The 12,467-nt window shown below is 37.1% G+C and overlaps 2 protein-coding genes across 5 annotated transcripts in view; both read left to right on the top strand.

Moving 5' to 3' along the window:
- The window catches only part of OR6N1 (olfactory receptor family 6 subfamily N member 1), a 76,161-nt gene that overhangs the window by 58,401 nt on the left and 5,293 nt on the right, over positions 1-12,467 (top strand). For 3 of the 4 annotated variants that reach the window (XM_017000325.2, XM_017000327.2, NM_001005185.2), the window contains one exon: positions 9,801-9,975. The gene's annotated coding sequence lies outside the window, so the exon portion shown is untranslated. Of the gene's footprint in view, positions 1-277; positions 396-9,800; positions 9,976-12,467 lie in introns of those variants that run through there. The other variant, XM_017000326.2, reaches the window with a different exon arrangement.
- OR6N2 (olfactory receptor family 6 subfamily N member 2) lies at positions 792-7,774 on the top strand. The gene is made up of 2 exons (NM_001005278.2): positions 792-826; positions 4,355-7,774. The coding sequence occupies exon 2, from the start codon at positions 4,361-4,363 to the stop codon at positions 5,312-5,314; it is 954 nt and encodes a 317-aa protein (NP_001005278.1). The 5' UTR covers positions 792-826; positions 4,355-4,360; the 3' UTR covers positions 5,315-7,774.

Raw genomic sequence — 12,467 nt, 5'->3', positions numbered from 1 at the left:
GTGATTGGGTTTATAATTTTGTAGAGCACTTGTGTGATGTTGGACACTTTATTAAACTCTCTGTGCTTCAGTTTTCTCAAATGTACAATGGGAATAACAATCACACCAACTTCACAGAGTAATTGTGAAGACTGTGCATACATTGTGCTTAGAACAACATGTGTTGCTTAGCAAATGCTCAGGTAAACAGGTCTTTAATTGGAACTACAATTCAAATTAAGGTTTCTGAAGCTCCACAACCCCAGTTTGTTTGCTTATTTGTTTGTTTTAAAAACAGGCAGCTCTTATCAGAGAGGATTCTCAAAGGAAGAATATTAGGTGGGATTCAGCACATTATCAGGAAAAGTAATTGGCTTAAATGATGAGGGGAAACAGTGTCTCTTCGGATTTCGGAGGTGAGTCAAGAAATGTGAGAGTGCATGTGTTTATGAGAAGAGTGGTGGGAGGATTAGGGTCACATTTTCAGAACTAGAGTCCAAGAGTCTATGTTCAGAAGTCACTGGTGATGAGGGAATAGGAGTGGCAAGGGAGGGTGATGAGACAGCAAACATTTGGGAAAGACTTTTCTGAGCCCACCTCTGCAGGTGAGAGGTAAACTTGGCTTCCCAGGAGTCTGCCCTGAGCCTGATTCTCACCTGTCTCTGGGGTTGGAGGTCTCCCTTCCTTCTGCCACTTGTGGCAAAACAGTGTTAGCTCTGGGGACTCTGCCTCAGGAGGATGAGACTTGCTGTAAAGGAGAAAAGGCTTATAGATCCAGTTTCCATTTCCCACACATATACTGATCCAGGCAAGATCAAAGCAGACACTGAATAGTGTTCAGTGGTTGGTAGGTGAACTAAGGGGCACATTAACTATATTGATCAGGGATTGGAAAGGTGGGACTGATAATAAGGGATTTGAAAATAGATACTACTTTGAAATCCAACAATTGGTCTAGTGAAAATGTGAGTTAAGCAACTGGGACTTGAAATAATTCAATTTTGATAATCTTAGAGTATCAGATTTGGAAGAAACTTTAAAGGTCATCTTGTCCACCATTCCCTCCATTTGGTTCTTAATTCATTCTACAACCAAGAGATTAGCAAACATTTGCTTTTAAAAGGTAGAGAGACAAGAAATTATCTTATGTGTGTGCTGTCACAGATTGGTCAAGTGCTGACACAGATGGTAGAAGGCAGAGGTTTCTAAAACAATTATTCATAAAATAGAGGCTGTGACTGAGAACATCTAATGAGTTATAGACAGTCCCCAATGAACGATAATTCTACTTACAATTTTTCTACTTTACAACAGTATGAAAGCAATACATATTCAACAGATTAATACATGAGATATTCAATACCTTATTATAAAATAGGCTTTGTGTTAGATGATTTTGCCCAACTGTAGGCTAATGCAAGTTCTCTGAGCACATATAAGGGAGGCTAGGCTAACATATGATGTTTGGGTATATTACATGCGTTTTCAGCTTATCTTCATTATGATAGGTTTATTGGGCTGTAACCCCTTTGTAAGTCGAGGAGCATCTATATTGTATTCTCTCAGGAGAAGCTGCATTTGAAAATGCTTATCCCAGAGAAGGCCTTACACAGATTTTCTATGTGGAAGATTAAAGACATTTGATCATGCAATAATTTGGGGTCCAGAGGCCTTTAGGGTGCTCCTGAAATTATTATGTTTGCTAGGCCTTACTTGTTCTACACATACAGTTGGCTTCAGAAAAGCTAACTTGTATAAAGGGGAAACATTACCAACAACAGTTCCTTGCACACAAAAGATGATCAAAACTATTTCTTGAATTTAATTTCTCTGGGTCAGTGGGAACAATGATAGGTCTTTCAACAGGATTAGGGAAAGTTGAGGCCAGACTAAATGTGAGACGCTAAGTTTATTAGAATACTGTAAGCTTTGTATTGCTAAGAAGACAACAAAAGGGATGTGTTCAGGTGCAAAAGAGAAAATGTAACTTAAATTTAGGCTAAAATAAAACATTAATTGATTTCACAATTCTATGCCTACTGTTCCAGGCATCAGCAGGGAAATATATAATAATTAATGAAGTACTACATTTGCTCTCAAAGATCTTAACAATTTTTGGGGAAGACAGACTTGTTAAAAAGGTAACAATATGCTAAATGTAAATATTATGAGGGCATAGAAAATGAATAAATAATTCTTTTTCTGAGGGATTCAGTAAAAGTATATTTAAGGAGTTAAGATTTGATCTCATTTTGAAGGATAAGAAGCAGTTCCCAGATGGAGAGAAGAGAGATGACTTAGAAGCAAAGGAAATGTAATGAAGCGAGAATTTCTTTTTTTAACATATCTGTCTCCTGTAATTGGAGAGGTGAATGTACAGTCTCTTTAGGTTAGAAGAGAATCAAGAAGAGTCTTTTAAGTATCAGTTGCTTTCAATGAATTTAGTATTCTAAAATATCAAACCCAGAAGTTCATTTCTACTGCAGGGCATTTGAGTTTGAAAGAAATGTTCGGCATTGGCTGAGTGGTAGAGTTGCAAGGAAAGTATTGGTCTACTAATTATTAAATGAATTGTTTAAATGAATTCGTTTGGTTATTAATATCTTATTGAATACTTTTAATGTGACAGCCATTGTGACGAGTGTCAGGATGATGAAAATAAGCAAGAGGCTGGTTTGTCAGTATGATAACTAGAATTGGGCGGTTCTCTTCAATTGCAGTATGATCTACACAGGGTATGGTGTGACTGGCACTGGTTGCCATTTTATGCATTTAAAGTTGCATTGTGAATTTTTGTTATTGTTTTCTTTTTGCATCTGTTACACATTTTGCTTAAGAATAATTAGAATGTCCAATACTATTTTGTATGAAATTTCACCAAGCCAGCTATATACTCTTCACCTGTATTTATATAATTGATTTTATGAAAACACAAGATGCATGTTTATTGCCACTCTATCATGTTTGTTTTTGAATCTGCATTCTTTTTTTTTTTTTTGAGACGCAGTCTCGCACTGTCGCCCAGGCTGGAGTGCAGTGGCGCGATCTCGGCTCACTGCAAGCTCCACCTCCCGGGTTCACTCCATTCTCCTGCCTCAGCCTCCGGAGTAGCTGGGAACTGCAGGTGCCCGCCACCACGCCCGGCTGATTTTTTTTTTGTATTTTTAGTAGAGACGGGGTTTCACCGTGTTAGCCAGGATGGTCTCAATCTCCCGACCTCGTGATCTACCCGCCTCAGCCTCCCAAAATGCTGGGATTACAGGCGTGAGTCACCATGCCCGGCCGAATCTGCATTCTTACACCAAACAAGCTAACCACCCTAACCCATCTTCCTGTCAGCCATACCCACAAGGCAAATTCACACCTTCATCTCCGAGCTTGAGGTCAGAATAGTTAAATTTTACTTATGTTTTAAAAGTCTACATCTGACCAGTCACTCATCTAGCAAACATTCTTCAGTGATGCCCTGCATCTATGGAGCTAAGGTCTTAAAGCATTGAGTGAGCTTTCCCAGTTTGGTTACCATAGAGGGGAACATGTGTTTCCTTCATGTGAGCTGCTTGCTGCTCGATGCTTTTATTTTTGTCTGAAATATTTCTTTTTCTCTTTTACACAGCTGATCCCAGATCTTCTTGGAAAATTCATCTTACGGGCTTCCTCTAAAAGTTTTTTTTCAGTCATCCTGACCTGAGAAATGAGCCACTTCTCAGGCACACTGAAGTGTTCTGTACTTTACAAATCCTATTGAGATGTCTGCTTCTCTACAGGGTTGTAAGCTGCCTGGTGGCAGAGATTGTACCTTGCTGAATTTTGTGTTCTTTCTGCCTGACACATATTTGTTCAATAAATGTTTATAGAGGTGAATTGAACAATAGGAAAATATTTGCTACTACATTAATCTCATACCCAAAATTCACTCTTTAAGTCTTTACTGAAGGAAAAGCTATGACCTGGGAAGAGGAGTTAGAATGTTTGGGAACAGTCATATAGTATAGAGCTAGAATGCTTGAGGATGGTCTAAATGTTGTTTCTGTGAAATAGTATCTATAGGAAATACAAAAGTGTTCTAATTACTTCCTTCTCTCTATTCCCAAGTTTTCTTATTTGCAAAATAGGCAGAACAATGGTGCTTATCTCATTGAAGTATAAAAATTAAGTAAATATTGAATGCAAGACACTTGTAAAAATGATGAATAGTAAGTGCTAATAAGAGTTAGCTATTAATATTTTTACAGTAATAGTAATAGTAGTGAGGGCAACAGTAGTAATTTCAGTGCTACTTTTAAGTTAAAAAGAGAGAGAGAGAAATGAAGTTTTGGCATGGATTCAGCAGTCATCTCAATCCAATGTTTTCTTCTTTCCTTCTTTACCTCAGCCTCCCATGGATCAATACAACCATTCAAGCCTGGCTGAATTTGTGTTCCTTGGCTTTGCCAGTGTGGGCTATGTCAGGGGCTGGCTTTTTGTCCTGCTGCTATTGGCATACCTGTTCACCATCTGTGGTAACATGCTCATCTTCTCAGTCATCCGACTGGATGCAGCTCTGCACACACCTATGTACCACTTTGTCAGTGTTCTTTCCTTCTTGGAGTTGTGGTATACAGCTACCACTATCCCTAAGATGTTGTCTAATATTCTCAGTGAGAAGAAAACCATTTCTTTTGCAGGATGCCTCCTTCAGACCTACTTCTTCCACTCCTTGGGAGCGTCTGAATGCTACCTTCTTACAGCCATGGCCTATGATAGATACCTGGCCATTTGTCGGCCCCTCCACTACCCTATAATTATGACCACCACACTCTGTGCCAAGATGGCTGCTGCTTGTTGGACTTGTGGCTTCCTGTGTCCCATTTCTGAGGTCATCCTTGCCTCCCAGCTCCCATTTTGTGCTTACAATGAAATCCAACACATTTTCTGTGACTTTCCACCTTTGCTGAGCTTGGCCTGCAAGGACACATCTGCTAACATTCTGGTGGACTTTGCCATTAATGCTTTCATAATTCTTATCACTTTCTTCTTTATCATGATTTCTTATGCAAGGATCATTGGGGCTGTGCTGAAGATAAAAACAGCATCAGGAAGAAAGAAGGCCTTTTCTACCTGTGCCTCACATCTTGCTGTGGTCCTCATCTTCTTTGGGAGCATCATCTTCATGTATGTGCGGCTAAAGAAGAGCTATTCCCTGACCCTTGACCGAACACTTGCTATAGTTTACTCCGTACTAACACCAATGGTCAATCCAATTATCTACAGTCTTCGTAACAAGGAAATCATTAAAGCTATCAAGAGGACCATCTTCCAGAAGGGAGATAAAGCTAGTCTTGCTCATCTTTGACTTTCTTCCCATGTCCTTTCTCACCTCAATGTTCAATTCATAAAAGTTCCTTGAGTAATCTTCCCATCATCACACATGCTCTGAATTTCATTTCCTTTCACCTCTTCAAAGACTTCATTTCTTTATGATTTTCTCATTTTCTACATCTTTATTTCTATTTTTTACTCGATCACTTATGTCAGCATTTAAGAATATTTTAGTATCTACATACTTCTTTTTTTAAAAAAAAGCATGTATATTTCCTAGGTCCACACATTTCCATCCAGCTAGAGATCGATTTCTCTGTTCCTTTTTCCAATCAAACTTCTCAACACACCATATTTCCTCTTCTTTACTTCATATCCACTTCTCAACCCATTCCAATCTTATTTTGGCTCAGACCTTCCAACTAATATTTTGTGAAGGCCATTATTGACCTCAATGCTGCCAAATCCATGAGAAACTTCTTTTCCTTCCTCTCTCCTGAACTCTTGACACACATGACCAGTTTTTATGCCTCAATTCTCCTAACTTTTTACTCCTTAACTCTCCCTAACTCTCATGACATCATTACCTCCCAATTTTCTTATCTTTCTTGTGAGTCTTTCCCAGTCTTCGTTGTCCTGCCGTGCTATCTCCCTAGATACTCGGAGTTATTCTTATGGATTTAAATATGATCTCTATCACAAGGCCTCTTAAATTTTTATCTCCAAACCACAATTTTTCTCTGAGATTTAGATTTATATATTCAACTTCCTACTTATCAACACTGCCTGGATTGGACTTGTCAATAATTTAAAACTTAACATGTCAAAATTGATTTCTTAAAATTTCTAACCATGAAAGCTTGATGCTTTTGTTTCCTTGTGTTTCTTCTAGAAAATTTTAAATATTCTATTTTGCTTCCTTTTCTTACAACCATAATTCCAATCAATTATTAATGTATGCCAACAATCTTTTCACAAAATATATTCTTAAATCAATTTATTTCTTATACTCTTTAGTGTTTCTACCCTGGTGTAAATTACCAACATCTCTCAATTGGATTAATGTAATAATATTCTACCCATGCTCCTTTCTCCTACTCTCATTCTATTCTAATATATTTTCCACATAAAATATAAAGTAATGTATTTGAAATCTGAATTGTATATACCATTTTATAAAAACATGAGAAATTCTCAATTGCCCTTAAGATAAAATTCAAAGCCTCACCATACTTTATAAGGCTATAAACGGAATTCTTCCCTGCCTTCCTCTTCAACATAGATTCATACCTCTACTCCCTCAGCTCCCTCTTTCCTAGCTACATGATTACTCTTTCAGGTCTTCAAATACATTATGGATTTTTCTGGCTTCAGGATCTTCACTCCGTTTTTTCCCCAACATTTCATTTGGTTCACTCCTCCTAATTGTGTGATTTTCTGTTCAAATATCAATTTCCAGTGATGCTAGCTTTGAGAGGACTTCTGAACACTCAGTCTAATTTATGTCACTCATTTTTATCTCTGAAGTATGTTTTGCTTCTCTTCAAAATATGTATGGCAATTTATGTGTTTGTGGACATTTATGTATATATACATAGATATAGTTTGTCATTCTTTCCTACAAGTATCTATAAACTAGATTTGGTCTCAAATTATTTCAGATTTTTTATTTGTTGTGTGTCCAGAAACTAACACAGCACCTAAATAGGATGAGTATTCAATGCAATCGTAATGAATGAAACATGTGATGAATTTTACCCACACCTGGTCAATAATATATTTGGCCTTTAACAATGACATAATGATTCTAATCATTACTGAAACCCACTGTTCTATAGAATGCATCGGTCTTCCCTATTTGTACTCACCAGTTTTCTGCACATCCCACCTCAACTTGTCTCACATCTGCCTTTTGAATTTCCTTGGATAATACTGGTAACTAGTCCTTGCTTAGCTACTGTGCATCATACTAGGTTAATTTTCTGGATCTGTATTTTTTTTTTTCACTCACAAACTTTGGTGGGCATGTAAGCTATCCCTAGATAATATTCATTTTTAACATGATATGGTTATGCGTAAACATAAATTTTCATGTCATTTGGGAAAATGCATAAGTATAGGATTGCTAGGTCACACGATAAATGTATGTTTATAATTAGCTGTCTAACTGTTTTCCAAAGACTAGTGCTTTTTGGGTCCCTCCGCTGTGGTACAATGTGGGGCATGTGTAGTGAGAGTTCATTCAGCCTGGGCAGCTTTCCTGAGCTGTGGGAATGGGCTTGTGATGAACCCCAGGCTTCTGTTTCTCATTGCTGCATGTCTATGAGTAACAAATCTGCTTTTCTTGATTTGTTGTGTGTTTTATCTCAGCAGGTTCATGAACTAGGTAGAGAACCTTTGCATATATATGTATGTCCTTTTCTCCAAATCCTCCCTGCTGTCATCCGCACTATTTTATCATATATTTTTGTAAAATAAACACACAGTACATTGCTACTATTTTTGCTATATACAGTCATTTTCTGTAAACAGTGGCGGTAAAAGACATTGCAAGAGGGAGAGAGGTTAGTGAGTACTGAGGAAGTCAATGGAGCTGCAGTTTCAAGAAATGTGATACCATAAAAAAGACAGGCAGTTACGTGCTGAAGTCTGCTCATAGTTTTTGGGAAATGATTGACAACTTATTAGAAATTCTGTGGAACCAATAGCTTGGAATCAGATACAGTGGGAGTATTAGCACTATGCCAATCAGCAAATGTTATAAATCAGGAGCTTTTTAAAAATGGCAGGCTATCTCAAAGCTAAACAATGCAGGCACTAAAGTGGTAAGGACAGATTTAATCAGTAATATACAAATATACAAATATATATACACACACAAAAACACACACACATACACACACATAGACATAAATTATTTTGGTAGCCTTGAATTTTCTCAGGCAGGCACTTAAAGAGGTGCTAGGATAGACTATGGCCTTGAGTTCTTAGAAACTATGTTAGTGTTTGTTTAAGTCTTTTAATACATGTGGTGGGGGAGGGAAGATGGGGAGGGTGGATGAAATCATTTTTGCTGACAGTCTATAGATTTTGTAAGCCAAGGCTGAGGTTTAGTCAAAAAGAGAACTAGAGTTCAATGAAATTGAGAATCTTTGTTAGAGGAGTCAGTTGTTAAACATTTACCCCAACACATATAGAGACAGAATATCATTTGGAGGGGAGGGTAGCAGAATTGATGGATATATTTTAGGAATAGAGGATATTCTAGTTCACAGAAAAGAAGTAATTGAAATGAAACTGACAGATGTGGAAAATTTAATTTAAAAGGTAGTGGGTATTTAACTCTTAATTGCCTTATAGGGATTTAGAAAACCTGAATAAACCTCTAGTCATTAAGTAAATAAAATTATTACTTAAACTCTACGTATACTAGTCAAAAAACAAAATAATACTTTGACTCAAAAATTAAGTTATTAGTTAAATATCTATTTACCACAAACAAAATATTAAATACTGGCAACTCAGTTTGAAAAAAAAAAATCTTCCAGAAATAAATTAGGAGATAGAAAAATATAAACTTTGATGAAGAATATTGAAAGTGTGGGTGGGATGGAGAAAGTGACAAAAATTATTTAATTCTTCTCATAGTTCATATTATAGTTTGTAAGTACTTTTTTTTACATTATCACATTTGATTATTAATTTTATCTGAGGAAAGTAAATCTTCCTTATACTTTTTAAATTTTTTATCTGACAAATAATTATATATGTGATGTTTTGATACATGTATGCAGAGTAGAATGATCAAATTAGGCTAATTAACATATTTATCACCTCACATATAGTACTTATCATTTTTATTTTGTGGCAAGAGTATTCAAAATCCACCCTTCTGGCAATATTGCCAACCATGGCTCAGTGAGGTGCCTAATGTCTCATAAGTATTTGGAAGAATGGCTGGGATTGTATCCAAGATTCTGAAGCAGCACTCTTTACGGAGCAGATAACACTAGAGTAGAGAGGAGACTGCAGTGTGTAAGACAACATATAACGGCTATAAATATGAGCAACAGACAAGATTAGGAGTCGGTCTTGATGATATTTATGTCCCCAGTGTCTCCCTGTCCTCACCCTTTCAGGGTCAAAGAAGGTCAGTCAAATTTTATAAAGATCCTATCATAATTGAAAGTTGTATGCTTACTCCCAAGTCATGCAGTACAGGAACCCATTTGAACCTAGTTTTCACACCAGTTATTGTTATTTACTAAAGGAAGTAATTGCCTTGAGACATGTTCTATCTCAACTTGGACTGGTAGTTATTGTTGTAGTAACTAATAGGTAATGAAGGACTACTGGCTAATGAACTTGCTGTATGTCAGTTCCCTTCCTGAGAGAGCACTTTAGTGACCCCAGGAGGTCTGCTCAGAAGGCCCATGGGCTTCTGCCTCTATGAGGTCCCTATCAAGAATCCAGGTTTTATGGGAGAAGAATTTGTTTTATGGTTTAACTTATTCCCACAGGTTCCATCAAAGTGATAAACTTCAACCCCTCCAGGCCCCGGGAATGGCTGGGTATAATACTGCAAATGAGACATAGGAAGTATACAGGAAGTTCTCTTCAAACTTCGGACTCCGAGCAGTGGCTGGGCTTCCAGAGTCAAGCTCTAGCAGAGCACTCCCCACCAACAATCTCTAGGTAAGACTTTATCAAGCAGGCATTTTCATCTTCACATTCCTTCTTAGTCTGATCACTAAGAGACCTAGAGGATTCAGAAATATGGAGAGGTTTTTGAATAATCAGGGTCCATAAAACACATAATTGAAACACAGAAACTATTTTTAAAAACAGATATTCTGCTTTTCAAATGCTATAGTGAAGAGTCTGGCTTCAAAATTAGTAAATTGGCTATATTTTTAACTAACTGTGTAAACTGGAACAAGTCTTCTCCCCTTTCTGGATCCCAGTTTTTGTTGTTTGTTTGTTTGTTTCGTTTTTTAAATGAAGACGTTGAGTGTGATAATCTCTAAAATTGCATCTCCCTTCTTACCCCCAGATCTTTGGCCCTATGCCTAAACAATTATGAACTATGAATAATGCAGCTGTGGTATCTGAAGAAAAGAATGCAAGGCATATATTCTAAAAGCTTTCTAGAATTAGGGGAATAAACTATGATTTCAATGGACCTAAGTAAGATAAATGTAAATTTGTATATGTGGTAGGTTTTATGAGAGCCCTGATTCCAATATCAGGAATAGGAGTAGATGAGTAACTGATGAGCTAAAGAGCTGCACAAGTCATCTCAATTGCCCTCTTTTTCATTACCCACCATAACTCGGATATATCAGGCATTGTGCTAAGTACTCTAGGAGGTAGGACATGGTATGAAGTTTCCTCATTAATTTCAAAAAGCTCACAGAGAGTTGCCTTGGAGTGATAAGACATATGCCTGGAAAATAATTGCAGTGCATTACAGGATATAATTGGAGGGACAGTGAGAAAGTACTACTGAGAATTTAGAAGTGTGAAAGAACAGTATTTAACTTAGATGGTCAGGGAAAAAAATGACAGACTTGAGCTAGAAAATGATTCAAGTGTCTTCAGATTGACAAAAGATAAAGCATATTTTTAGTGAGGGTACACTGCAAACAAAGGAGTCTGGGCTAAATACAGAAACCCACTTGGCAAACATTGAAATTGCTATAATGGTGATGAAAAGAATGTTTGAACACATGACTCTGGACCAGAGCAATAGGGTTGTTTCACAGAGCAAAACAAAGAATAATGGTGAAAGCCAGGTTTCTGGTCATTGGAAAGGACAGTTGTAAACTAAAACATTTCAAAAATGGAGAGAACTGTCTTATGGGTCAGGAAGCTTCCAGTGCTGTAAATCCAGGCAGAGGGTTGATGCCCATTTGTGGCGATATGGATTCCTTTATGAGTGAGAAGATATGAGTTTTTGCTGGGCTGAATCAAAATTAGAAACATAAGTACAAATATGAAGTTTGATACACATGATTTATCCTTCTATTTTAGCCTTCCTTTTTGTGATATTTAAAGGTTTTTTCTTTTTATGAGCTGTTGGAAATATATAATACATTTCAGATATTCCAACAATCCAGTGAAATCCAAAATTATGGGGGCCACTGGAAAGTGATAGTTCCTAAAGCTTCTCTCAACACTAAATTAAGGTTTATCAGTACTAGCAGTTACAATCATAATTAGAAATAATAAAATAAATTTTTTAAAAAGGGAAAATCATCAGTATTTTTTGCCATCTTAAAGGGGGTGTGAAAAAGAGAAGGAAATGGTCCAAACCTCTGAGAACTGTGAACTTGGAAGATGAGGGAGTTGGGGGTGCTAGTTTTCCGTGGAAAATAATAATACTTGATCGGATCCTGATGACTTTGATTGCTTAGGCAGAGTATGGAGGGAGTGAACAACAGCAGGTCATTAATGAGTGATGATACAATGTATAGTGTGATAATAAGTCTTTGGAGTTATGTGGAAACTCTACCTTCTGAGAAAGGAGACGACAAAATACTGGCTTCTCATATTCAATCTTCTGACCAGCCATCCATGTAGATCTGAAAATTTAGTTAAGGGCTCACAGTCTAGACAACTCATCTGTGAGTGGGACTGGAGGCCAGAAAAGGAAAGAGGCAGCTCTAGAATAGAACCTTTTATTTATATTTAGAAGGGAAGGAATATAGAACATCTAGAAAACAAGGGTCTGAGAAGAAGTAGAAATTTAGGGATAATCCTTTATAGAAGGCAGGTATGCATTCAAGACTTGAAGAAAACAGAAGGCAGAATTGGGCAGTGGATAGACATGGATATGCGGTGAGAAAAACTAAGACAAAGAAATTTTGGATAATAAAGTAATTATTCTGAAGCAAAATCACCCATATAAAAGTTTGGCCCGGAAGTAGTTCTCTGGAATCTAAGTAGAGAAACATCCTATATTAAGTCTTGGATTGAGAAAGGCTTTTGTATATGGGATGGACATGCTCCCTAGGTTTAGAAAAATGCCAAGAAAAATCAGAGTAAACAAAGTTAGTTTGGATGAATTTCAGGATCCTGGAGAGGGAAGAAGTGATAAGAAGACCGGAGGGCAGAAGGAGAAGACTCGGTGTCTTTCATAACTCTCTGCCTTTGCACAGGCAGTTCCATTTGCTTCAAATACTTTT

Source organism: Homo sapiens, chromosome 1, assembly GCF_000001405.40.
Source record: "Homo sapiens chromosome 1, GRCh38.p14 Primary Assembly".
In the NCBI taxonomy this organism is placed as follows: Eukaryota; Metazoa; Chordata; class Mammalia; order Primates; family Hominidae; genus Homo; species Homo sapiens.
This window is presented reverse-complemented; position numbering and strand designations above follow the sequence as displayed.

Coding starts and splice junctions, on each gene's coding strand:
- OR6N2 (NM_001005278.2), top strand. CDS start 4,361: ATGGATCAATACAACCATTCAAGCCTGGCTGAATTTGTGTTCCTTGGC.